This window comes from Homo sapiens, chromosome 2 (assembly GCF_000001405.40).
Source record: "Homo sapiens chromosome 2, GRCh38.p14 Primary Assembly".
In the NCBI taxonomy this organism is placed as follows: Eukaryota; Metazoa; Chordata; class Mammalia; order Primates; family Hominidae; genus Homo; species Homo sapiens.
Genome location: NC_000002.12, coordinates 98454922 through 98481598, shown reverse-complemented (window position 1 = coordinate 98481598; position 26677 = coordinate 98454922). Strand labels below are relative to the sequence as shown.

At 49.5% G+C, this 26677-nt stretch overlaps 1 protein-coding gene across 42 annotated transcripts in view, besides 8 other annotated features; it reads right to left on the bottom strand.

Annotated features, from left to right (window-relative positions):
* Nucleotides 1-26677, bottom strand: part of INPP4A (inositol polyphosphate-4-phosphatase type I A) — a 149806-nt gene that overhangs the window by 112794 nt on the left and 10335 nt on the right. The gene's annotated exons all lie outside the window — the stretch shown is intronic.
* Nucleotides 12680-12809: a silencer, noted in NCBI's record as "silent region_11801". NCBI's record gives its function as "represses an Ori minimal core promoter by ATAC-STARR-seq in GM12878 lymphoblastoid cells {active_cell/tissue: GM12878}" and the evidence as "EXISTENCE:reporter gene assay evidence [ECO:0000049][PMID:35858748]".
* Nucleotides 15181-15745: an enhancer, noted in NCBI's record as "H3K27ac-H3K4me1 hESC enhancer chr2:99082317-99082881 (GRCh37/hg19 assembly coordinates)". NCBI's record gives its function as "activates a minimal SCP1, AML or CMV promoter by ChIP-STARR-seq in naive H9 embryonic stem cells {active_cell/tissue: H9 hESC(naive)}" and the evidence as "EXISTENCE:reporter gene assay evidence [ECO:0000049][PMID:30033119]".
* Nucleotides 15844-16153: an enhancer, noted in NCBI's record as "active region_16263". NCBI's record gives its function as "activates an Ori minimal core promoter by ATAC-STARR-seq in GM12878 lymphoblastoid cells {active_cell/tissue: GM12878}" and the evidence as "EXISTENCE:reporter gene assay evidence [ECO:0000049][PMID:35858748]".
* Nucleotides 16164-16303: an enhancer, noted in NCBI's record as "active region_16262". NCBI's record gives its function as "activates an Ori minimal core promoter by ATAC-STARR-seq in GM12878 lymphoblastoid cells {active_cell/tissue: GM12878}" and the evidence as "EXISTENCE:reporter gene assay evidence [ECO:0000049][PMID:35858748]".
* Nucleotides 17554-17603: an enhancer, noted in NCBI's record as "active region_16261". NCBI's record gives its function as "activates an Ori minimal core promoter by ATAC-STARR-seq in GM12878 lymphoblastoid cells {active_cell/tissue: GM12878}" and the evidence as "EXISTENCE:reporter gene assay evidence [ECO:0000049][PMID:35858748]".
* Nucleotides 17790-18305: an enhancer, noted in NCBI's record as "NANOG-H3K27ac-H3K4me1 hESC enhancer chr2:99079757-99080272 (GRCh37/hg19 assembly coordinates)". NCBI's record gives its function as "activates a minimal SCP1, AML or CMV promoter by ChIP-STARR-seq in primed H9 embryonic stem cells {active_cell/tissue: H9 hESC(primed)}" and the evidence as "EXISTENCE:reporter gene assay evidence [ECO:0000049][PMID:30033119]".
* Nucleotides 20819-20878: an enhancer, noted in NCBI's record as "active region_16260". NCBI's record gives its function as "activates an Ori minimal core promoter by ATAC-STARR-seq in GM12878 lymphoblastoid cells {active_cell/tissue: GM12878}" and the evidence as "EXISTENCE:reporter gene assay evidence [ECO:0000049][PMID:35858748]".
* Nucleotides 25806-25855: an enhancer, noted in NCBI's record as "active region_16259". NCBI's record gives its function as "activates an Ori minimal core promoter by ATAC-STARR-seq in GM12878 lymphoblastoid cells {active_cell/tissue: GM12878}" and the evidence as "EXISTENCE:reporter gene assay evidence [ECO:0000049][PMID:35858748]".

The following is a 26677-nucleotide window of genomic DNA, read 5'->3' as shown; positions in this document are numbered from 1 at the left end:
GATATAATCATTTTATATAGAGAATTCTGTCACTGAATCTTTATATCTAAAACCACTTCAGATAGCTAAAACATATGCCAGCCTTAAGCCAAATGCAGCTCCCTAAAGAAACCAGCACCCCAAAGAGACCACAGGATTATCCAAGAGCCACAGGCAACCAGAATAAAACTGGAGGAGCGAGGGTTCTGGCTGCCAAGAGTGGTCGATTTATGCGTGCCAAGGGACCAAGCCCCCACTGGTATAGGAAATGTATGCCATTTCTTTCCCCCCAGGGAATTTTCAGAGGAAGACATCCTTGCTCCACACAGGATCACACCAGGTCCACATTCCTCCAAGTCTCCTGTTCACTTCCTGGCCTCTCTGTGGGGTGAGGGATTACAATGGGCAGCAGGTGGTGACACCCTCCACCTTGAGAGGGACGTGTCAGATGCAGGAAAAGTTCACAGTGCTCTGATTAAATTATGTTTTGTTAGGACACCCCCTCCCCAGTGTTGGCATTGAAAGGTAACTAGCAGAAGAACTTGAAGCACACCTGTGTAACTCAAGGTCAGTCCCCAGGTGCTGCTTTGCTCTCTTTGGGCCTCAGTTTCCTAAACTGCACACTGGTAATGCACAGCCTGCAGCCTGAGAAGCATGTGAGAATGGAGCACGTGCAGCACCACAACTCCTTCCTGGGGCTGGAAGGGTCCAGAGTGTGCGGCACCCTGCCCCCCACTCACCCTCCACAGGCCAGCACAGGGGGAGTTTGGCTGCGGAGACGGACACACGCGCCCTGGGGCTGCAGCTGGCAAGAAGACAGGCTAGTGGAAGATTCAGTGCTCTCCGGTCTGAGGCTGCCAGCAATGCAAGGGACTGGAGACGGGCACATTCTGCCTGGCAAGGGATGGGGGCCAGGAGTGAGGGACCATGTGTGCAAATGCACGGGAGCTAGCTGGCCACCTCAGTCATTTACTCCTTCAGTGCACAGAGGGTCACCAAGGCCTGGGGCCAAGTGAGAGGACAGACACCCATAGGAGAAAGAGCCCAGACTCAGCCCTTAATGCCCAGAATGTCAGTGCAGGGGAACCACAGTCAGTGATGATGTTCCTAACACAGGTAAAATGACGACAGTCCTTTCTACAGCAAAAAGCTGCTCTGTGTCGTAAGAGCATATGATAGGGCACCAGATAAAAATCTGGTAAGTCACTCCACCTCTCTCTGAGCATCCCTTCCCTCCTCTGCAAAATGGAAATGAATAATAATTACCTCATCAGGTAGCTGGGGATTAATAAACTGATCCTAGACAGACATCTGGCCCAATGCCCAGCATATGGTAAATGCTCAGTGAGCCAACCTCTCAGGGCTGAGTTCCCCACCCACCCAAGACAGTCAGAACCAGGAGCCCCTGGCAAGGCTCCACCCAATGCCCTACAGAAACAGAAAAAAAGCTTTAGTTTCAGCAGAGGCTGAGAAGGCAGGCCTCTGGGGCTGGCAGGGAGGGTGTCAGCCAGAGGCTCCGTGTCTAGCGGGCAGCAGAGGAGGTGCTGGCAAGGACAGCAAGCTGGCTGGAAGCCCTGACTGCAGGAAACAGACCTCAAGCAGCACTCCCTGGGGGCAGGACCCTGCCATTCTGTGCTGTTTGGGGGCAGTTTCTAAAGCCTTAAGAAAATAGCTTCCTGTCTCAGGCTTTCTAGGAAGTCACAAACTAGGTGTCTGGGAGGCAGTTTTAGGTAAGTGCACAGCCCAAGGGAGAGCTGACCCCTGTACCAGACAGAGACCCTGACAGAAGGGACAGCCCAGGGCCAGGCACAAAGGGCTCCAGCTCAATCGAAGTTGGTCAAACAGGGACAAAGGAGACAGTTTTCTTCAAGGACAGGAAGAAATCTGTTGCTATCCTGTGTACCCCGAATTCCATTTGCAACCATTAGTTGTTTCAGAAAAGCTGGTGCGTGTCAGATGTTTTATCTATGAGACAATGATTTCCCAGCACCTGACCACACTTTCTGTGTCACAGAAACTGTGGGCTGCAGGTTATACGTGGGTTCTGTGCCTCCTGGCATACCTGGAAAGATCCTGATGCAGCCCACACTGTCAGTTCATAAATAGTAGGGTCAAAACTCTGTTTCCCATGGCTGGAGCAAGCTGCTTCAAACCAGCCATCCCCATGCAGAGATGCCACTGACTATGTATTTATTGCTAACTGTCTTCTAATTATGATAGAGCAGTCAGCGCCTGGCTTCTAAGACACCTTGCTCAACTCATCAAAGTAGGGTAGCCTCGGGATATCTCACGAAGCACACACAGGAGAAGTTCCCACCCAAGGCACAGCAGATACCCCCCATCAGCACCACTGCAGCCAAATGGGGACAGGAGCACCTCCCCACACTTCTAAAATTAGAAGTGCCACCAATTAGCACCAAAATAAGTAGCCTAGTTTGGGGAAGGTGATAAAAATCAGCGAATAATATCTTGAGTGGGGAGTGGAACAGGAACAAGCACTCTAGGGCAACTGGAAGTGTGGTCTGTGAACTGGCAGTAGCAGTACCACCCAGGAGCCGGGAGGAAGTGCCCGACCTATGAAGGCTGACTCCCTGTGGGTAGGGCCCAGTATCTGCATTGAACAAGTCTTCTAGGTGACTGCTAGGCATTCAAGTTGGAGTAGCTATCTCTAGCCTGCCATCTTCGAAAGATGCCTGAAGACTTACACAATTATTTCCAGTTAAGTCCTAACAATCTACAAAAAAACCGGACCTCTTTCTTTTCAAAAAACAGAAAAATAGCACCACCACAGAAAGTCATGGGTGCGGGCTGCATTCATGCTCAGCTAGAACTGAATGCAGAGTAAGTCAGGACAGAATAGGACAGACACATACCTGCAACCTTCTCGGAAATCCATCACACCCTTCTACCCTCACCCCCTCAACCTTCCTACTCCCATTCACCCTATTCTCCCCAGCTGGGGCAGGGACCCTCTTCACAGCCACATTGGTAACCATCAAAAAGGTCAAAAGAGATCACCATGATTTGTTGCAAAGAAAGTCGGGGGAGGGAGTGCCCAGAGTTAACTCCACTAACTAGGGATCAGGGGTGTGCTCTGCCACCCCTACCCCCACAGCCCTGCCTCGCCTTGACTCTAACAGCAGCGCAGGTCTGGTGGAGAGGCACTCAGCTGGACTGCAAGGCTGGCTCAGCTTCTCACACCCTGGACCTCAGATCGGCAGAGAAGCCATCCAGGAACAGAGCCTTGTAAAAGCTCCCTGGACTTGGAGCAGTCCTGGTCCCAAGCGACAGGAATCCTCCTCTCTGGTGGCCACCTCCCTCATCAGTCATGACGAGGCCTCCACCAAGAGCAGGGCCTGCCTGAGGCTGTGCTCCTGGGTGGGAGGGAGGACACTGTGACTTAAACACAGTGTGGCTGAGAAAGAAAAAGGAAACACCCGCAAATTAAAGTGCGCTCTATTTTAGCTTTAAACACACATCCCTCCCACCTACGGCAGTGTCCAAAATAGCACATCCTATTTTAGGGAGATCAGAGGCAGTTCCTCAATAGGCTACAAAATAGACCTGGAGTTTGGAGACCAGCACCGCACAATAACAGTAGGTTGTAGGCCGCAGGGACTGCACTCGCACTGAATCCACCTCCCACTCCAGTCCCATTTTAAAGGCCAGAAGACCTAGGCCTCAAGAGCTAGCACGGCTGCTGGTGGTCCTCCTGACTCAAATTCTGCCCTCTCCATTTCCAATCCATGCCATGTGGCTCTCTTCCCACAGCAGGGCCCAGGCTGTCCACATTAGAGGGGCCCTTAGCCTCTCCTCCCTCATCCAACCGCTGTCTCCTGGGCAAGACCCACACAGGGCAGGGAGAGGTAAAAGGCAGGGTGAGGTAGAGGGAGAAAGCCTCTGTTCATCAGACTCCTGGACTCTGGGTTGAACAAGGATAGTCACTAACGGAGGGACTGAGACAGCCATGGTCTTGTTCACTCACAAAGAGAGAGCAGTTTCTACAAGACCAACGTTGACAGTTCCTGGAGATACAGGGCAGGAGAGAGGCAATCAACAGCCAAAATGGCCCAAGACTCGCCGACATTGAGGCTCTGGTTCATCCTCTGTTGTTAGGCTGTGGTCTGGTAACATGGTGTCCAAGTATCTCAGAGAAAGGCTGTAAAGCTGCCCCTAGAATCTGGAAACGGGTCAGGAACAGTCACTTGCTCAGTACTAGGACTCCCATGGCTATGGTTTCCCTACCAGGCAGGAAGACCAAGCTGTACCACCACACCATTCAGGACAAAGAGCCAAGAAGCGTGCCTGAAGCAGGCAGCTCAGGGAGACGGGACGGCGGGGGAGCTGCACACAGCATGCTGTGCATGGCCCCAGAGCCAGACCATCCGGGCTCCAACCCCAACTGCCGCTCACCCGCCACGCTACACGTCCCCAGGGAGAACTCATTTCACCTTCTGCTCCTCAGTCTCCTGCTCCTGAAATGGGTGTTACAGAATCATCTACTTCATGGGGTTACTGCAAGAATCAGATGACTTAATCCCTCTAAATGTGCCCAGTGCACAAAAATGCTACTTAAGTATTTGCCACTATTACTACTACCACTCCTGCTAAGCCCATCTGACAATCAGATACCCCAGAGGCTCTTCTAGCCATCCAGAAACAGGGGGATGGAGGCACTCAGGCCATGCCGCTGGATCAAGGACAGCAAGGAAGGGGCTGTGAGTACCCAGAGAACAGGGAACACTTATAACGGCAAACAAGGCCTTGAAGAAGGTTAATTACTGTTAAAAGTACAAACTTAACCCGCTATCGTCACAGGCCAGGAAGAGAACGGGCTGGAGGGCCCCATGAGAATTTCTGGAAGACAGGAAGGGAGGCAAGGCTATCTTGGCCATTCTCAGGTGATGGTGAATGAGGCAAACCACTGTGGAAACCATGAGCGCAGAGGGAGGTGGGCCCTGCTGGACACGCTTCAGAATGCCCATCACTCCCCTCTGAGCCAGGAGAGGTCTCCAGGAGCGCCACCCCTCCCCCAAGCAGGGCTCCTCCCCACACACACCCCAGGGCTGGGTCCCAGCACCCCAGCTGAGAGCCTCCCTGACTGTGGCTGGAGACCAGATACCTAAAGGGGGCTTGGTGAAGGAGAGCTCTTCCCCAGAGCGAGGGGCCCACCCTGGAGGAGAAAGTCCCTGCTCTGAGCTCCTGGGTGTGAACCCTCCCGAGGGACAGCAAACAGGGCCATTACTGCTCAAATGTGGAGCTTAGCATGTCTTAGTTTGACTGGGCATCCAGCCAGGCATTACTTTAATATACAACCCTAAAGCTTAGTCAAACTATCACTGGCTTGTGTGTCCTGGCAACACCTGGCCCTAAAACTGGGAATCACCTAGCACCAAATAAGAGAAATTAAAATTCCAGGAACAATCGAAACTCAAATTTTAAAAGTTTCTACAATGTGAATCTTCATTATCCTATGTACCCATTCTAATTAAATTCTTCAAAAAGTTTTGGGATGGTAAAAATTTCATGTGGCAAGTCTGACTCATTAAGGAGAAAAACATAGGCAAAATCACATTGCAAAGACTTGTTACCACAAAGCTATTTGGAGTTGATTTCAGTAAAATTCTGCATCAAATCTGGATTACCTGTGGGTGGATTAAACATTTGTAGATTAGCCTTGATAAAAAAATGAGAAGATAGTGCATTTGTGGAAAAAAATTTAAAATAAAAACCATTATAACAGCATTCCACACTGTTATTTAAAATTAGTGGCAGGCAAGGTGGACACACAGGCTCCCCCCGCCCCAGAGGCCCATCCCTGCCCACTATGGGTAGTACTGCTCCCCTCCTCCCAAAGCCCCCACCCCAGGTGAGAAAAGCAGGTAGAAGGGAGAGGGTGGCTGAACCCCAGCCCTGCCCACACAGCCCAGCATGCCCCAGCAAACAGCAGGAGACTACAACCATTGTTGGTCATGCAATGTAATACTGACGCCTAAAGCAAAAAAACAAAGTATCTGTAAATGTTCAATGTCCTGCTAAATTTTACAAGTAATTTCAGCCAGATTAAATGTATTTTGCACTATATTCTGACTACTTCTGTGTTACCCATAGTTTTGCTTTCCTCCAAGGCTTATGCTCCCTCTCCTACCTCATCTGTCATCCTGGTTGGTCAAGAGACAAATTTAAATAGCTGAGAAAGAAAGATGACCTCAGAACTTGAAACACCGCCCATGGGGTTTTAGAGGTCTCTCTTAATTTGTAAATCTAATGGGCTAATAACTCCCTGGCTTAAATCCCCTCTGTGGCTCTCGGCACACACAGAATGCAGCATGAAGTTGCACCCAGGATGGATCTCCTGGCCCTCCTCTGTCTCCCAAGCTTCCTAAGTACCACACTCACAAGCTGCTCCCGACAGCATCTCACAAGTGCCCTCTCTATGCCTTTGCTCAGCTGTCCGCTCCACTTAAGAGTGCCCCTCCTGTTCTTGTCTGCTTGACAATTTGTACTCATGCTACATGACCAATTTAAACAGCAATTTCCCTGTAAAGTTTCACCCACTTCCAGACAGAAATAAATACCCTCTGCTTATTGTGACATGGCCCTTTCTGTTGCCACAAAGAAAAAAAACTTCTGATACAGTGTACACCCTTGTCTCCTGTAGCTCCTTAGGAGAAGGGCCTAAGTCATCTTTAACTCTTCATCTTTAACAAAGCTGAGCCACTGCAGGAGCCCCAAATAAGCTTTTATTAAGTGATTAATTAAAAATAACTTTTGTATCCCCCAGGGCCCCAGATGGGTTTGGTGCATAAGAAAACTTATTTGAAGATGTTTTTATCCATGAAATAGAATTTTTTTAAAAAACACCAACCTGTAACTATGAAATTCCTGCACCTCACTTAGGCTGATGCTGATGGCAATCTGCAAAGAGAGGCTGCCAAATGTCAGGGTGATGGCACCCAGGTGAGATGGGTCTGCTGCCTCCCAGGGCATCAAGGTACAACAAAGGCCCAGGGCTAGGGCCAGAAGCCTGGTTTGGGTCTTGTCTGTCACTCACCAAGCAGGAGGGCCCGGGCAGGCCATTCACCTGCTCTGGCTCTCCCCATAATGCCTGTGGGGTGAGCGGCCATGTGGTGCCAGCGTGGGCTCATCCCACCCAGGGCTCTTCGTAGCACAGGTGGAACTGGATCTTTAAGATATTCCACATTATAGAGAAGACAACACAATAGAGCAAAAAGCAAGCTCCCAACCCCAACTACTTCAGAGATGTCCTTTTGTGTAAGAATCCTGCTTCAAAAAACAAAATCCACTCTTGGGCCTCACCAAGCACTGGGAAGGCTGCGGGTGGCCCTCGCCCACTGCACCATGGACACCAAAACCCACACACACAGGCCGCTCTTGAGGCTGTCAAAGTGATATTAGATACCACAAATGCAGAAAGGGAAAGAATGGGAGGCTGAAATCAAAACCAAAAGTGACTTCACAACCTGCATATACAGCTTTCCAAACAAGCTGCTCAAACGAATGCACACTCCAGAAGAAAGAGGGTATGAAAACGTCCATGTCTGTATATGGCAGACTGCCCCCGAAGGGCTCACAAAAATGCTGGGCAAACTGCTTGCCTCTGGGGAGAGGAACTGGAAGGCAAAGTGGGAGAGGTGATTCTTCTCGATATATCACTTTGTAATTTTTGAATGAGACCAAAGGTAATACCTTCATAGCATGTAATTATGTGAGATATGTAATGCCCTCAAACAGAAGTTATGAAAATGTCCCACAGTAAATAAACTTATCTTCCCCAATCACATGTATTACCTTTCCAACATGTTTTCATGCAATCACCTGGTGAAGTGGAAAATCAAGATACTAAAGGCCTGGATCCACTTTTTAATGCTGTGTGACCCTGGGTGCCATCCGCCCACCCACCAAGACTCCAGAGGTAGCAACCGGCTTATGGTCACCATCTGGCCCGGGTGAGGTCACTCACTGAGTGGCACCTCCTGAGAGGCCCTGACCACATTGTAACCCATCATGGCCAGTGCCCAGAGTAAGGAGGGGAAGCAGGTGGCCCACCACACGGTGTCAGCCCCTCTACACTGCACCTACACTGCCCTCCACACTCTCAACTGCACCCACACTGCCCTCAACACTCTCCACTGTCCCCACACTGTCCTCCTCACTCTCCACTGTCCTCACACTGCCCTCAACACTCTCCACTGTCCTCACACTGCCCTTCTCACTCTCCACTGTCCTCACACTGCCCTCCTCACTCTCCACTCCACCCACACTGCCCTCCTCACTCTCCACTCCACCCGCACTACCCGCCACACTCTCCACTCCACCCACACTACCCGCCACACTCTACACTGCACCCACACTGCCCTCCACACTCTCCACTGCACCCACACTACCCTCCACTCTCTCCACTCCACCCACACTGCCCTCCTCACTCTCCACTGCACCCACACTGCCCTCCACACTCTTCACTGCACCCACACTGCCCTCCTCACTCTACACTGCACCCGCACTGCCCTCCTCACTCTCCACTGCACCCACACTGCCCTCCTCACTCTTCACTGCACCCACACTGCCCTCCACACTCTTCACTGCACCCACACTGCCCTCCTCACTCTACACTGCACCCGCACTGCCCTCCTCACTCTACACTGCACCTACAATACACTCCTTTCTCCTGCCTAGGGCACTCCCACACTGTGGCAAGCAGAAGTGCAGCTCAGGGCAGCAGGAAAGAGCACCTCATGGAGAGGGAGGCCTGGAGGCTGGACTCCACAGCCAGCCATGCCCCAGCTAAGCTGCAAGACTCTGGGCAAGTCACTGCCCTTTCTGGGCCCCAATGCCCTCTTCTGTAAGAGGAGAATATCAGGTTCTCAAACCTCACTCCTCCTTTCTGCAGATGCTTCCTACTGAGGATGCACAGATTTGAAGACCCACCACAGACCCTCAGTGAGCCCTGGGCTGGGGCTAGGGGAGGGGACACAGACATATGTGCTGTGGCCTCTCCCTCAGGAAGTCATCTTCCAGAGGACAGAGGACACATGAAGAACAGCTGCATGACAGAGAGAGCACTTCAGCAGAAGGGGACAGACATCTGCACCACCAGCCTGGTTCCTTGGACACTTGCCACAGAGCTCATCTGTCCACATCAGATTGGCTTCTCCACTGGACTGTGCTCTCCCCAGCAGAGTTTCACCCTATCTCCATCCAGGGCAGCCAAGAGAATCTGCTGGGGGACTCGAGTCTGTGCACGCTGCCGTGGGTGTGCTCACAGCACAGACTCTTCTGCTCTGGGCACTCTCTGAGGGAACTCCCAGGAGCAGGGCTGGGTCAAGCCCAGCTGTGTACCTTGTGCCCTTCCCCCAACCCCGGACCCCAACAGGGACTCAAGCTCATCACTTTCAAGGCCCAGCCCTCCTTGGCCCCTGTAGGTCTCCACCCATGTGGACCATACTTCTGCTCCACGGCAGGCAGAAACAGGCCCAGCCACAGGAGAGAACGAGAAAATGGAGTCACATGGGAGATCAAAAAGAGGCCTTGTTGGAGCAGACCAATGCCCAGCTGAAACTCTTGATTCCTACACCCTCCTTGTGGGGCACAAAAAGAGGGACAAGGACAGGTGGCCCTCCAGCACACTCCCAGCATCAACATCACAGTCAATGGCAACTCCCAGAGCTTTTCAAAGTCATCCAAGATTGTTACTTCTTCAATCAGTCCTCACCCCAGACCACACACCCCTGGCAGTTTGCTTGGCCTGTGGCAGAATTTCAGAGCTACAGTCCCGAACTCCACGGTGCTGTCTGTGACTTCAGCCCCAACAGGGGTTCTCGGGCACTCCTGGCGGCTAGGGGGCTGCGGCAAACTTACTAACAGGGCCAGCAACGTCTTGGGAGGCTTCGACATTTATAGATTATTAAATGAAGAATTTTAAAAGCTTACAGACAGCCAGTCTAAGCACTTCAAATCTACACAGTCTACTTGGCAAACACACACTGAGCGTTGACCTTGGTTCCTGAGCGCTCAACCTGAGGCTGCAGCCTGTGAGAAGCAGCAGCATGGCAGACTTCTGTTCAAAAGCAACCTTACTTCCATCCACCAGAGCTTAAAATTCTCAGATGGTCTAACAGAAATATTCCACATATGATGAGATACCACAGAAACCTTAAGTGTAAGTTAAAAAACCATACTCCCACCTGCTATATATTTTAATTCCACATTCTCTCCTGATAGCTTTGCGAGATTGCCAAGTACAAAGGGAAAAAAGCTTTTCAAAGCTCAATTTTTTAACCCAACAGGGTCATTCATCCTTTTCTCCTGTGTGGAATGACTGTGAAGTAACTCAACAGTGTTTCTCACAGGACTCAGGTCAGGACATCATTCACAACGGCCATCTACAGTGAAGCCACAGACACACACATGCATGCACGCACAGGCACACCACATACACGCACACTCATATACACAGGAGGCACCTCCAACACCCTCAGCTAAAACTATTTTAGTGTGATCTCAAATCAAAAGCTTGGGCCAAACCATTCTGGTTTCTGAAACTACAGGTCAACAAGGTTGCAACAAACATAAAACCACACTGAAACCTATTCAGAGAAGGATGGTGATGGTTTCTTTAGAAATGTCTTCCAGTGGCTGGGTGCGGTGGCTCACGCATGTAATCCCAGTACTTTGGGAGGCCAAGGTGGGTGGATCACCAGGTCAGGAGTTCGAGATCAGCCTGGCTAACATGGTGAAACCCCGTCTCTACTAAAAATACAAAAATTAGCCGGGCGTGGTGGTGCGTGCCTGTAGTCCCAGCTGCTCGGGAGGCTGAGGCAGGAGAACAGCTTAAACCCGGGAGGCGGAGCTTGCAGTGAGCCGAGGTCGCGCCACTGCACTCCAGCCTGGGCAACAGAGCAAGACTCCGTCTCAAAAAACAAAAAAAAAAAGAAAAAAAGAAATGTCTTCCAGCTCCTCCTGCAACATGGCCCTGAACCACGTCTAACCAGAGGTCACACCAAGGAAGTGACCACCCAACTCAGCACCACTTCTTCCTGTGGTCCTGGTATCATGCTTCCCCTTCCTGCTCCTTCAGTGCCTGGCTGAGAAGGCGAAAGGCCCCACCAGGCCTCCTTGCAGGGGCCGAAGCCCAGCGGGCCATGCCTCCCTGCGGAGGGAAGGGACAGACCACTAAGGAGCAAGGACTTAGAGCTCAGAAGCAGCGCCAAGTGAGTCTCATGCCCCTCCTGAGGCAGGAGTCCAATCAGGGGAACCCCAGGTGGGGCTGCACGTGCACTGGGTCAGCCTCCAGGGGCCAGGTCTCCCCACCTGCACCACTGGGTCCAGAGCTCTTTAAAATCCAGGGGCCGCTCCCCAGTCTAGGACCACAGGGAAACACTCTGAGTGCCAAGCACTCCCAATGGCTCACTGGAGCTCTGTGGTCATGAATTTACAGACTCATCAACATGTCATGTGTTCTTCTCCAGCCACAGGCCACTGTGCTGAGAAGTGGCCAGAACCAGGGCTGTGGTTTTACCAAGTGAGATGTGGACGGACAGGGGCAGGAGGTCACGTGCGTTGGCCCTTTCACATCAGTCATGACTATGCCTCTATGACTGTGGAACCCTCCTTGGTGCACAGCAGAACATGCTGCAGCTCTGCACATCACAGTTCACCTTCACAGCCTGAGAGAAGGAGGGGACTGAGGCTCGGCATCTAAGAGACTGGCTCAACACCAATATGTGGGGATTTGAAACAGGTGGGCCTATTTCATCAGGAGGCCAAGTTCTTTTTGTTGTTGTTGTTGTTGTTTGAGACGGAATTTCTTTCTTGCTGCCCAGGCTGGAGTGCAATGGCGTGATCTCAGCTCACCACAACCTCCACCTCCCAGGTTCAAGGGATTCTCCTGCCTCAGCCTCCCAAGTAGCTGGGATTACAGGGATGCGCCCCAACGCCCGGCTAATTTTTTGTATTTTTAGTAGAGACAGGGTTTCTCCATGTTGGTCAGGCTAGCCTCGAACTCCTGACCTCAGGTGATCTGCCTGCCTTGGCCTCTCAAAGTGCTGACATTACAGGCATGAGCCACCGCACCCGGCCCAAGTTCTTTTTTTTTTTTTTGAGACGGAGTCTTGCTCTGTTGCCCAGGCTGGAGTGCAATGGCGCGATCTCGGCTCACTGCAACCTCCGCCTCCCAGGTTCAAGCCATTCCTTGCCTCAGCCTCCCGAGAAGCTGGGATTACAGGCGCATGCCAGCCACCACACCCGACTAATTTTTGTATTTTTAGTAGAGATGGGGTTTCACCATCTTGGCCAGGCTGGTCTTGAACTCCTGACCTCGTGATCTACCCACCTCGGCCTCCCAAAGTGCCGGGATTACAGGCGTGAGCCACCGTGCCCAGCCAGGAGGCTGGGTTCTAAACCTCTAAGGCCCACTGCTCTCCACCCCAGCTGTACCTCCAAATCACCTCATGGGAAAGGTGGCAAATGTCATGCTGGCCCCACCCAGGATTACACTAATTAGCACAGCATGGGTGGAGGGCAGGCTGCCATGTTTTTCAAAAGCCCCTAGGTGATGGTAAGGTACAGCCAGGATGGGGAAAATTGCAACACTATTCCAGTTCCCCTTACCCCCAGCCCCCAAAACCCCTTTTCCCAGCTGTTCACTTTATCCTGCCATGGTTGACTCATCTCTGCTCTGCTCAAAGCCATCTCAGCAACCACTGTGGGAGGCATTCACCACGCCTCCTAGGCTGGAAGTACCAGTGTGGGCGTGATGTAGAGACTTTGGGTCTCTCTGGCTCTCAATCTCAGCCATGAGCTTTGCATCTAGTTACAGCTAAACTCATGGTCCAGCAATGAACCATGAGGAGTTATCGACTTCTATCATCATCCTTCACAAACTGCAGTCTCACTGGTTTCAGGATCAACAGAACCATCAAAAAGAAATGCCACAGTTCTTAGAATGAGAAATGCGACCCACCAGCCACACACTAAACAGCATTTATTTTGGTTTGGATTTCATTCCCCTTCCTTCCTTTATTACCCTCCCCTAGTGGCACCTTATAAATTTTCTGTTTTCAGCCATACATGGTGGCTCATACCTGAAATCCTAGCGCTTTGGGAGGTCAAGGTGAGAGGATCATTTGAGGCCAGGGGTTCAAGACCACCCTGGGTAACAAAGCAAGACCCCCATCCCTACAAAAAAATAAAAAATAAAATTTAGGCATGGTAAGGCATTTCTGTACTCCCAACTACTCAGAACCCTGAGGTGGGAGGATCACTTAAGTCCAGGAGTTCAAGGCTGCAATGAGCTATGATTACATGGCTGTACTCCAGACTAGACAACAGAGCAAGACCCTGTCTCAATCAATCAATCAATCAATAAAATTGTTTTCTTTACTGAGACATTAAAATTGGTATATCTAAGGATCTCACTTTCTTACTGTAAAACCTCAAAGTTTTACTATTAGTCCACTAAGATTTACTCAGGGTTATTACAAATTCAATTAGTTCATGGTCTCACTGAGTTGGAAAGTATGCTAAGCACTATCATTCATAAATAATTGTAAAACTTAGTTGTGGAACTCGACAAAGATGAGGCTGAACTTACGGCCTGTTCAACCAACAGGCTGTACTCTAAAAGCCCATTTATAAGTTATCTGGAACCCAGAGAACATTTCATTTCATGTAAAATTACCACTAAGTTGGTACTTAAGTTCCCAAGAAATAAATAACTATTAGACAGTTAATAACTAATAGATAACTATTAAATAGAGAACTAGATAATAATTAGATAATAGATAATTATCTATAACTAATAGATAACTATTCAACTCATTTGTCCTTTTCTAATTTAAAATCAGAAAAACGTTATTATGGTGCAAGAAAATCAAGTGTGTGTTGTGTGTGCATATACAGACAAGAAAATCAAATGCAAGTGTATGTGTGGGATGTATATGCAAAAACTCTAACTTAAGGAAAAGAAGCTTCACATCAAGAACACAGAAGTTAAATCCATGGAGGCTGAGAAGATAATTTCCACTCAGTTCCAAGGGCAAAGGACACTGATGATGCTAGGTTCACTGGACCTGTTGTCCCCACATGTGGACGGTGTCGCTAACATTGCTGACAGCTTCACAGTCTTAACAGCAACATAATAGGGGAAAGGAGAAAGCGTTTAAACAGATGTAGAGACCAAGTTAACAGTGTGATGAATCATCAGCAGATGAGGGGGACGGAGGGGCAAGTGTGGCACAGGCACAAGAGGACAATGTTTGTCCCCTCCAAACTCCACACTGAAATTTAATCCCGAATGTCAGAAGTGGGGCCTAATGGGAAGTATTTGGGTCATGGGGGCAGATCCCTCATGTATACATTAATGCCCTCCCCCAACCACCCCCCGCTTTGAGGGTGCGTGAGTTCTCACTCCGTTGGTTCCCACAAGAGCTGGCTGTGAAAAGAGCCTGGGACACCACCACCACCACCCGCTCCCTTCCTTCCTCTCTCGCCATGTGAGCTCAGCACACGACAGCTCCCCTTCACCTTCCACCACGAGTAGAAGCAGCCTGAGGCCTCACCAGATGCAGATGTCCAGTCTTGAACCTTCCAGCCATCAGAATTGTGAGCCAAGTAAACCTCTTTTCTTTAAAAACTACCCAGCCTCAGGTATTCTTTTATAGCAGCACAAAACAGACTAAGAGAACATCCAAGAGGAAAAGAAAAAGGCCCTTTCCCGGCTACTCTAAGAAACTCGGCATTCAGAAGCCTGGTGTAGTTATTCAGGGACTGCCCAAAAAATACATAAGTGTGAGACAAGCATTCATAAAGAAAACGAGATGGAAATAAAACTCTGGGTCCCCACCAGAAAGAAGACAGATAGACATCATCACCTGTGAGTGCCCTCCTCTCTCTCCTGTGAGTTTGGCGATGGGTCTATCCCCTCCAAGGCCTACCTGGCATAACCATAAGTGAGGGTTTTATGCACAGAAAGACCTCTGAAACCTCTGCCACCAACCAGCTGGGTGACAACTTCTCTGAGCCGCAATTCTCTCACGGGTAAAATGGGATGACAGACACTTATCATTCAAGGTGTCCAGAGGATTAAATGAAGTGCTGCATGCTGAGGCACAGCACAGCAACGACGCTTAGTGAAATTCCAAAAATGCCGGTGACTCATTGTAATCTGTGATAGGGAATGTCTGTCACCCCCTTGAGCCAACAGGTGCTGGTGCACAGTGAGTGCTCTACAGGGTTAGCTTAAAAAACATAACAAGGCCGGGCACGGTGGCTCACGCCTGTAATCCCAGCACTTTGGAAGGCCAAGGCGGGCAGATTGCTTGAGGTCAAGAGTTCAAGACCAACCTGGCCAACATGGTGAAACCCCATCTCTATTAAAAATACAAAAATTAGCTGTGCATGGTGGCGTACGCCTGTAGTCCCAGCTACTCAAGAGGCTGAGGCAGGAGAATCGCTTGAATCCAGGAGACAGAGGTTGCAGTGAGCAGAGATCACGCCACTGCATTCCAGCCTGGGCAACAGAGTGAGACTCCATCTCAAAAAAACAAAAAAACAAAAAACAAAACAAAACAAAAAACGTAACAAGAAGGTCCCTTCCTAAGCTACTGGGGGGAGGGCTGGAGTGAGACTTGTGGCAGATGGAGCAGAGACTGAGCAAGGTGGGCAGGGCCAGCCTGGGCACACAGCCAGAGAGGAAGGGGGAGGGCGCTAGAGTGAGACCCAAGCCACCGTCTGCTCAAGTACTGCGCCGAAACCAGGGTGGAGCCGGGAGGAAAAACCACAGGCCCTCACAGGAACAGGGGCTCAGCCAGAGAGTTGAAAAACTCTTTTTTCAAACCCATGTAACAACATAGTAAAATGACAGGGGATTATCTGTTCACCAAGTGAGTGCCCAGCAACATGACAAAATGACCCCAGAGTCAGCTACCCCAGAGTCTGGGAGAGGAAAGGACCATGGCCACCCCTAGGCCTCCCCAAGCCTCAGCTTCCTCATTAAGCCCACTGTATGTGGGACAGTATGGTCCTCATCAGGCTGCTGTGAGGTATGGCAGGTCAAATAATGCCCCCTGCAAAAGAGGTTCACGTTCAAATCCTTGGAACCTATTAATGTTACCTTATACAGCAAAGGATTTGCAGACTCAATTAAGTTTCGAATCTTGAGATGAGATTATCCTAGATTACACTGGTAGGCCCCAAATGCCATCACAAATGTCCTTATATGAAGGCAGGAGATTTCGGAGAGAAGAGAGGGCCGTGTGACAGAAGCAGAGAGAAGCGGAGTCACGGAGAGAAGATGTTACCCTGCTGGTGTGAAGATGAGGAAGGGGCCGGCAGCCGAGGCAAGCCAGCAGCCACAGAATGGATTCCGCCCTAAGCTACTGGAGGGAACATGGCCTTGCCCACAGCTTGATTCAGCCCAGTGATTCTGGAGGCCAGAACAGTGAGAGAATAAGTTCCTTTCGCTTTAAGCCACCGAGTTTGTTACAGCAACCACAGGAAGCTAATACAAGGGATTAAAAGGGAAGTGGATACAAAGCAATCAGCACGCTATCTGGCACGTGGTAGGAACTCGAGAATCCCCATTAGTGAAGGACAGTTCCTGACATCCTCCCTGGGCCACCAACCCATCCTCAAAAGCTGTGTGAAAACCTACAACCTTGTACTGCAATAACGAGCTCTGTACTCTGCTCACAAAAGCTCCTTCGTGTGTATCGTCTCAGTTGATTCTGTCCTAAAAAGGAGTTTCCAAGGTTGTCCAAGGACTCTCGGCTTGTCACATATAAATACAACACTGCCACAGGCCTTGTCTTCAACATTCAGTTCAATTAGTTAAAATATTTCACAGGATGGCCTCTGCTGATATCTCATGGAGCAGACCCTCCTGATCTCAGGCATCATGAGCTGTGATCAGGGCCATCTTACCTTGCAGAAACACAGCACAAGTACTTCTCTCAGCCACAGGCCTTGCAACTGTCAACAGAGAAGCTGGTGCCGAGTTCTGACATGGGAACTGAGAACTCTGCCCCTGTCAGGGCAGACATGGCAGAAGAAGAGGCTGGGCAGGCAAAAAAAGACACTGGCTAGCACTTGACCTTCCAAACTGCTTTTCAGCTTGACTCATGCAAAGAGGTTTATCTCTCCCCTAAACCCCCTGCTTTTTGTTTCTTCAGCCCTTGCTCTGTGCACCCCCACTCTCGATTTTCCTCTTTGAGGAGCGAGTCCCAAGTGTCGAAACCCACCATGTGCAATAATTCCACTTCCTCCGTCGTGCTCGGCCTCCATCATGCAGACCCTGGGGCCTCAGCTTCCCCTGGGTTGCTGCGAGGATGTGGCCCCATGAATCTGACGGCTCTCCTGCCCTCCCCTCTGCCCCATTTTGTTCGAGACTCAGGGCTGTGCTGTCCCAACCTTCCCCAGCCTGTGCAAGATTTGAAGACTGTCCCCTTCATCAAGCCACAGCAGCCCTCAGCCACAAAGAGCTCAGGGTGGAGCCTCAAAACCTCAAGAGTATCTTAAAGAAAAAATGAAGAAAAAGAAGAAGCCTATTCACTTCCTAAAAACAGCCATCTGCAGGCCCTCTGAGATATCTTTTTTGCACCCATTCTTCTACAAGCTTCTGCCAGCGCCAGGTTCACTGGGTGGAGACCGTGTACCCTAAGCCAACTGACTACTGACCACTATCAGGCAGGAGACAAGGGCTGTGCACGGAGCGAGCAGAGACTGGAGGAAAAGCTGCCTCAGCATTCCTCAGCCCCTGGCACCGCATGCAGCAGACCCTAGGGCTAACAGCTCACACCTACCAGACCTTCACTTGACCATGGACGCTCATGGCTCTGGTCTGCCCTAAATCCCGCACAGGGGCTTGTAAGCAGTCTCGCAGGCACATGCCTGTGAGCCCTCCGCAGGTGGCTACTACTTCCTGCTCTCCTACAGACAGACCCCAGGGCCAGCTCCACAAGTCAATTCCTTTGTGCCTGAAAACTACCTGCTGCGTGAGTGAATGAGAAGGGGCAGGTGTGCTCCCAGTTGGTAACTTTGCATCACCTCGCCTGTGATGAATGACCATGCCATATCACAGATTCAGAAACTGAAGACCACCAACCAACATGACTCCAAAATGTACGTGCAACGTGCTGCCCAGGCCGTTGCCTTCCCTCTGAGATGTAGAGCACCTTGGTTGGAACAGCTGAAATGCTGGGAGGGCATGGCCAGAACCAGCCTCAGCGAGACACCATCACAGCTGAAATGTAGACTTCCACACAAGCACTGTGTGTTCCTGGGCCTGGCTGTCATTAAGGTCCCTGCAGAACCATCTGCCCTTGCACCTGCAGCTTGAGTTGGCCGCTTGATAGGCCAGGCAGAGGAAAGCCCAACAGAGCCAATGTACCTGAAACTGGGGTCAAAAGCAGCTTTGACAAGCCTCACTCAGGATGCTACAGGTTAGTTTAAAATGTCTGTGGGCTGGGCGCGGTGGCTCACGTCTGTAATCCCAGCACTTTCGGAGGCCGAGGCGGGCAGATCATCTGAGGTCAGGAGTTCAAGACCAGCCTGGCCGACATGGTGAAACCCCGTTTCTACTAAAAATACAAAAATTAGCCGGATGTGATGGCACACACCTGTAATCCCAGCCACTTGGGAGGCTGAGGCAGGAGAATGGCTTGAACCCGGGAGGTGGAGGTTGCAGTGAGCCAAGATTGCAACAGAGCACGATTCTGTCTTGAATAAAAATTTTAAAAAATTAAAAATTAAAAATAAATAAAAAATAAAATGTCTGTGTGTTGGCTGGACATGGTGGATCACACCAGTAATCCCAGCACTTTGAAAAGCTGAGGCAGGTGGATTGCTTGAGCCCAGGAGTTCAATACCAGCCTAGGCAACATAGCCAAACCCACAAAAAAAAATTAAAAATTAGCCAGGCATGGTGGCATACACCTGTAGTCCCAGCTACTCAGGAGGCTAAAGTGGGAAGATCACTTGAGCCTGGAAGGCAGAGGCTGCAGTGAGCCATGATCCTGCCACTACACTCCAGTCTGGTTGACAGAGTGACACCCTGTCTCAAAAAAAAAACAATAATAATTAAAAAAATAAAAGGTCTGTGTGTAACTAGAAGGTAATATTTTATTTTATTTTTATCTATTTATTTATTTATTTTTGAGACAGAGTCTCCATCTGTTGCCCAGGCTAAAGTGCAGTGGCACGATCTCGGCTCACTGCAACCTCTGCCTCCCGGGTTCAAGCGATTCTCCTATCTCAGACTCCTGAGTAGCTAGGACTACAGGCGCCTGCCACCACGCCCAGCTAATTTTTTGTATTTTTAGTAGAGATGGGGTTTCACTGTGTTAGCCAGGATGGTCTCGATGTCCTGACCTCATGATCCGCCCACCTTGGCCTTCCAAAGTGCTGGGATCATAGGCGTGAGCCACCACGCCTGGCCACTAGAAGGTAATATTTTAGAGACATGTGCCTTACAAATAGTATCTAACCATTAACTGCCCATTTCCCAAAGAAAACCCTACAGGCCAGGTCATAATTGAAATAAACGGGCAGAAGCTTAAACACGTCGTCTAACCCCACCCTCTTTTTCCAGCTAGAATGATGCTCAATCCAGCCAGAGCCTAGGCCCAGACCTCAGAGCAAGGGGGGTGCAGCTTCCTTCACAAAACTAACGTATTAGTGTGAAGCACAGGCTGGAAAGAAGCTAACAGGCATCCAGAGAGCACTGGTTGAAGAATCTGCAGCACAGCCTGGCAGCAGGCCAGCATGCAGCTGGACAATGGAACACAAAACTCCTTGTGGGCCAGTGAAACCGTCAGAAGAGGCACACAGCGAGCACGCAGCATGGCACCAGGGATGTGGAAAACTGTCTCATGTCTGCACATGCAGGCCTGCTGGCATATACACAGCATAACTTCAGAAAAAAACCCAACAAGCACATGGCATTGGTGTCTTAAGGGAGGGGACATGGATGGCTAGAGGATAGGGTAGGAAACAGGCTTTACCACATATCCTGCTATATTTTACAATTTTTAAGCCATGAAAATGTTTGCCTATTAAAACATAAAATGTTATCAAATTTGTCAAACCAAGTTAAGTACAGGGAGGTTTTTGAGAAGTCTCTCCAAGAGACATTAGTGCACAGCCAATAAGGGGATGGAAGATTTCAAGGAGCCCTGCTCTGGGGCAGGCACCCCTGCAGGTGACAGAATCAAAGCTAGGCCCACACCTGTTGCTGGCAGTGACTGCCACGGCCTTGGCAATGAGCATCCCTTGCTCTCCGCCCTTCACTTCCTTCTTCTCTGACTTGTCTCCTTCCACTCTGTTTGCCTCCTCTGCCATGTCACTACATCATGTGGCATAGTGAAGTCTATATTCCAAGTCAGAGTCCCAGTTAGAGATGGAGGGTGGTGTGGCAGAACCATGAGCCAACCCCCGTCCCTGTAATCATCTCTCACTACCAAACCACCCCCTCGCCAGCTACTGGCTCACAGGCTTGACTGTGTCTTTTTGCACTGCACCCACTGTGCAGATACCCCATGAGGTCACGGGAAGGGCGTGGCTATGGAGAAGATGGAACCGGCTGCAGCTGCCCAGCCAGCTATTTCACACTGTAGGGAGAGCCCCTGAGACAATTAATACCATTTCTAGAAACCAGCATTTCTGGGTTTCTTTACACCCCAATGCTTCCTCTTCCTCATGGTGTTTCAGCACAGTGTTTCACAGGTGGATTAGAGGGGGCGCAGACGATTCTTCTCCAATGCTGGGTTTCATTTCTGTCATTTCACAGATAACAGCTTCACCCCTGACCCCATGGGTGCCAGGGACACCCTGCCCTGTGGTCTGCATTGTGGACATCCTGCAGCAGGACCCACTGCCACACAGCGCTGGGTGAGCCGCAGCATCCACAACTGTAAAGCCAACACAGAGCGGAGACAAGGAGGCCAAGTCGCGGCCCACAATCCCCTAAAACTGGTGGTTAGAGCACAGGCATTATTGTAAGAATTACTATGATCCAAGAAAGGGTCTCCCCAAACCATGAAAATGACTATGGAACTGCTTCTGTCACTTAAAGTAATGACACAAACAAAAAGAATGAAAGAGTCTTAAAAAAGTCTGACACCCTCCAGTGTGGGATGAATGAATTCCCAAACTTTACAAAAGGCCTGAAGGGGCTCGAGCCCCCCGGGTGATCTGGCCCTGCCTCTCCTGAGCCTCCTTCCTGATGCATTGCCCCAGTCCCTCCTCATTTATCTCTGAAGACCCCCAGGTTGAGCCACTGCCCTTCCATGACACATAACTCACCCTTCCCTGAGGCCCTGTGATGCTCCCCAAAACCCACAAGAGGAAGAGGCCACCTTTCCTGGGTGCCCCTACCCTACTAGGCTTCTCTGCACCCTTGCACCTATAATACCACACTTGCATATATGTGTACATGTATATGGGGAAAATTTTTACTTTTAATTTTAAACATACACACACACACACACACACACACACACACACGATGACCAAACCCAAAGGTGTGGCACCTTCTCACCCAGAAGTGGAAGCAGACCTAGGTTCCAGCCACCTGGACAAAAGGGCTTGTGTGCCAAGGATAAAAAAGGTCACTGCTGAGAACAGGCTTCTGCCTTTGACTCAGCAAACTGACAGTTCTGGTTTCTCCCTGAGAACTTACTGGGGCAGCAGCTGTGCAGTGGATTCTGGTCTCCCCTCCTTCTCCTCAGTTAGACTGAACCTCAACTTGACCTCAGGGAAGCAGGCTGTCTTCCCAAGAGAGGCTGAGGCTTTTCTTGCTACTTTGACAAGGACAGACTAGCTTTATTCATTCGTTCACTCAACAAACATTGATTATATGCCTATTTTGTGCCAGGCACAGTGGGGCACTCTGGACCTACAAAGAAAACCAAGCTATTGTCCCTGCCCTGAAGGATGCTTAAGTCTTATGACAGCCCAGATCCATGATGTTCGCAGGGTGTGTCCATAGAGAACTCTGGCAATCTTCACACTGTGAATGCCATTGTGGGACACAATGCCCCTGTAGCATGCAGTAAAGTAGAATCTAACACTTGAGCAACTTCTCCAGACCCTCAAGGAATTACTATTAACCAGTTGCACACCAAGGAGGAGAGGGTAAGAGGGCCTCCCAAACACGGACACAGGTGTCCCCCTCAGCACTCTGCACGCCAGCCCTCCAGGGTGTCCTGGTAGACTTTCTTACTTTCATGTTGTTTTTCCTTTTGGCTACTCAGCAGCGACCCCCTTCCTCCTAATAGCTCCCTGAACTCTACCCTCCCTTAGGCCACTCAACCAGGGTAGGGAGGAGTGGGCGGGAAACCAGGTGAGGCAATCAGAGTGCTGATTTTCCCAGGTGCAGGGACCACTGGTTTAGGGGCAAGCCCCTGGCCGAGGTCTACTCAGTGTCACTCCCACTCCTGGGCCAGTCCAGACCTGAACTATCCATCTTGTCTCATGAGTGAGCGGCATTTCCGAAGGACAAAGCTCTGCCTGAGCACTATGCAATCCTGACTTGGTGTCATATTCTGTGCTCCATGAATGCTCCAATCACACTGGTGGCAAATGTGGTAAAAGTCAGTCAAAATCAAGCACTTCGGGTGCCTTTGGGCGTGTGGTGGCTACCATCCTGACGGGTGTTAGCGGGCCACAAAGAGTGTGCTGAGAGCCACCTTCCACAGTCAGCCATGCTTTGAGAACTTCGCCTCCGCTGTACTTCTCTCCCTGCCATGATCCGCCGATGCTGCCTACCCGCTTAAGGTCTGGAGATGCAATGTGGAAATCAGAGCCACATCCCCCCTGGCCATGCCTCACTCTCTGCATACATGCTGCATACTTAGGGGTCCCAACACCTTTTGTTTCTCCTGGAAAAAAAATGTGCAGCATCCCATTCATTGGGCCAGAGTCTCACCCAGGATACCAGCAGAATGGGAAAGCAAGCCCCAAAAAACACACAGAACAGCACAGCCATGAAGGGGCAGGAAGGCATTTCTATGAAGTTCGGTGGTCAGCTCCCTCAAGTAAAATACTCCACTCTCAAAGAGGAAAAAAAATCTGAATGTTTTTATGGAGAAAGAACTGGCTAGCAAAACAATCTGGAAGATAATCACTAGGCTCAGGCATCACAGGCAGCAATGATTCATCTTGGGTACCAGGAAACGTGTTGTGTTCAGTTGCTGCCTATCCGTAGCCACTCCCAGGGTAGAGAAGGTGAGAAAGGGCTATTTGATGATTTTTTTTTTCTGAGGCAGAGGCAAGCCCCTGTCACCAAGACTGGAGTGCAGCGGTACAATCATAGCTCACTGCAACTTTGAACTCCTGGGCTGAAGCTATCCTCCTGCCTCAGCCTCCTGAGCAGCTGGGACTACAGATGTGTGTGCACCACCATGCCCAGCTAATTTTTTAATTTTTAGTAAAGATGAAGTTTCACTATTTTGCCCAGGCTCAAGCCTTGTTTAAACGTTAAGTTAGGCAGGGTGTGATGGCTCATGCTTGCAATCCAAGCACTTTCGGAGGTTAAGGCAGGAGGATCATTTGAGGCCAGGAGTTCCAGACCAGCCTGGGCAACATAACAAGACCTCATTTAAACAAAAAAAAAAAAAAAAAAAAATTTTTGTTTAATTAGCTGGGCACAGTGGCATATGCCTGTAGTCCTTGCTAATTGGGAGGCTGAGGTGGGAGAACTGCTTGAGCCCTAGAGTTTGAGGCTGCAGCGAGCTATGGCTGTCTACTACACTATAGCCTGGGCAACAGAGCGAGACCCCGTCTCTAAAATAAAATAAAACAAAAATAAGAGTTTCTCCCTAATATAGTCAACATCTACATAATCAGAAAAAGCTAGCCAATCCTATTTCTAGGCCTGCCTAAGTAGCAAGCTCAAACAGCTTTAATAAACCAAACTCCTGTTTATTGTCTCAAATGTTTAATTTGCAGACAAATCTACGTTCTGAGGTAAAAATAGCAACTGTTTGTATTCATTACAGTAGTCAATTAAGTTAGGTTCACAGTCTACGTCACAGGCTGCTAGTTCCCATGACAAACACTGGTACAATCCTAATAGTTTACAAAACAGCCAACCTATGATATGAAACACTGATCAAATCCTGGGATGACCAGTTCCCAAAGAATGACACAGCAGTTACTGCCCTGGAATTTAGTCATAGCTCATGTAATCCTGTTTTTGTTTGTTTGTTTGAGACAGGCTGGTCTCACTATACCGACCAGGCTGGTATCAAACTCCTGGGCTCATGCAATCCTCCTGCCTCGGTCTCCCAAGTAGCTAGAGAATACAGCCTCACCAGGTGCATGCCACTAAGCTAACCCAGCTAGATCTAATCCTATTTTAAATGAGTTACATCCACTACTGCTTAAAACTCTCTTTGCTCCAGAGGGGCTGAGGCAGGGTGGCCAGTGCCCTGAGTGTCTGGGCTGGGACATACCCAGGGACAAGGCCCAACAGTCAAATCCCCAATGAGAAAGGCCAATGTTGTCCCACAGGAGAAACTGAATGAGATTAACTTTAAAACCTGAATGCTCCTTACCATGCAAGTTGGTACAAAGTTGTTTCCAGTGACACTGCTGGAAATAAAAACCCACCCACTCACCATTTGTGAAGTGGCCCCTCACCACTTCACAACCCATCCACTGGCTTTCTTCTCTCTTTGACAAAAGATATTAATATCTAGCTTGGTAAAGACATTAGACTAATTAAAGAATAATTAAATAATCAACTCAAAACACAAAGATCTTCCTCCCTCCAATGGAGTTATTTAACACACCATACAGTTCAAAGGCACCTACAATAATAGTCACAAAACACGTGTTTTGGGCAATCGATGGTTGAACACTATTTGTAAGACTGTTTGCACTATCAAGTAAGACAAGCTCCTGTTCTCATGGTCTCTGCAGTGTTTCCAGAAGAAAGGGGTGAGAATGAAAAACGTAAAAGTAGCTGGGTACAGTGGCTCATGCCCTGTAATCCCAGCAATTTGGGAGGCTGAGGCAGGAGGATTGCTTGATGCCCGGAGTTCAAGACCAGCCTGAGCAACACAACAAGACCCAGTCTCTAGAAAAAATTAAAATTAAAAATTAGCCAAGTGTGGTGGCACACGCATGCAGTCATTGCTACTTGGGAGGCTGAGGCAGGAGGATGCTTGAGCCCAGGAGGTCAAGGCTACAGTGAGCTATGATCACACCACTGCACTCCAGCCTGGGCAACACAGCAAGACTCTGTCTCTAAAAATAAATAAATAAAAAATGTAAAAGCTTTTAGCAATGGCAACCTCCCTGTAACGTGTTCAGAGCACCTTCTACAACTTATATAGTTGTATCCATTTGACATTTGAAGCCCTTTTTTTCTTTTTAATCATTTTCTGCTTTAACTGGTAATTTCAAGTCCATGTATCCTTTTTGAAACAAGTCAGGAATGGCTAACAGGAAAGAAAGCTGCCAGAAAGAGAAAGACAGTCCAGACCTGAACCAGAAGATAAGTGTGCATAAAGTATGCTGGAGTCAAGTGGTCTCCATCAGTCAATGGGAAAATGACAAGGGCTGGACTTACAAAAATGCTGTAGTTGTACTGGGGGACTGTCTGCAAAGGGCCTCAGAAGGAGTGATGGAGAGAGGCTGGAAAAGCCAAGGAAAGGCACGGGACGCTCTAGCTGGACCAGGAAGAATGTGGTCTGTGTGACACACAGGCAGCTTCCCTCTCCACTGACATATCCTTGGTACTCCAGGGTCTCTGACACTATGTTTCTTCTTCTCTAGAAAGCTACTGCTGAATCACTGCAGAGGGGAGAGAAAGTGAAAGAATAAAAAGGCAGTATTTCCAAGGCAACAGACCAAAGAACAACTTCCCTAAATAGACACTTGTATGTGTGTGTGTGTCTTAGTCCAATGCCAACTAAATCAAGAACATACCACACTTCACCCATGTAGCCCCTGGGCACTATCACCACTCCATTCCACTGTCAGGGAGGATTCGACGGGGGAGGAACAAAGGAAATCACCTTCACTAGATGAACAAGAAAGGAGGAGGGTGAGATTCAGGCATGACTTCACCAAGTCACTGGCAAGTTGGGGACAAACCACAAATGAGACTGCTAGCGCTTCCCTTCTACCTGAGGTGGGCACAGTCTACCAGCAAGGTGTCGTCCCTAAGGCCAATCCATTTACTCACTCCCCTCTTCCAAACCATAGGAATGACAATATTTGGAAGATTCTGGGGTATCTTTTTTTTTTCTTTTTTTGTAGAGACAGGGTCTCACTCTGTCACCCAGGTTGGAGTGCACTGGTGCGATCATAGCTCACTGCAGCCTCGACCTCCTGGATTCAAGTGATCCTCCCGCCTCAGCCTCCCAAGAAGCTGGGAATATAGGTGTGCACTACTATACCTGGCTAATTTTTTAATTTTTAGTAGAGACAAGGTCTTGCTTTGTTGCTCAGGCCGGTCTGAACTCCTGGGCTCAAGAGATCCTCCTGCCTTGGCCTCCCAAAGTGCTGGGATCACTGGCCTGAGTCACCTTACTCAGCCTATCCTGACATTTCTTGGCACCTAGCCCTATTTTAAAACATTGGGTTCTGTCAAACATACCACTGTATTGCCATTTGAGTATCACCCAATTATGTAATGTGATCATTTAACATTTGTATACACAGAGCACGAAGA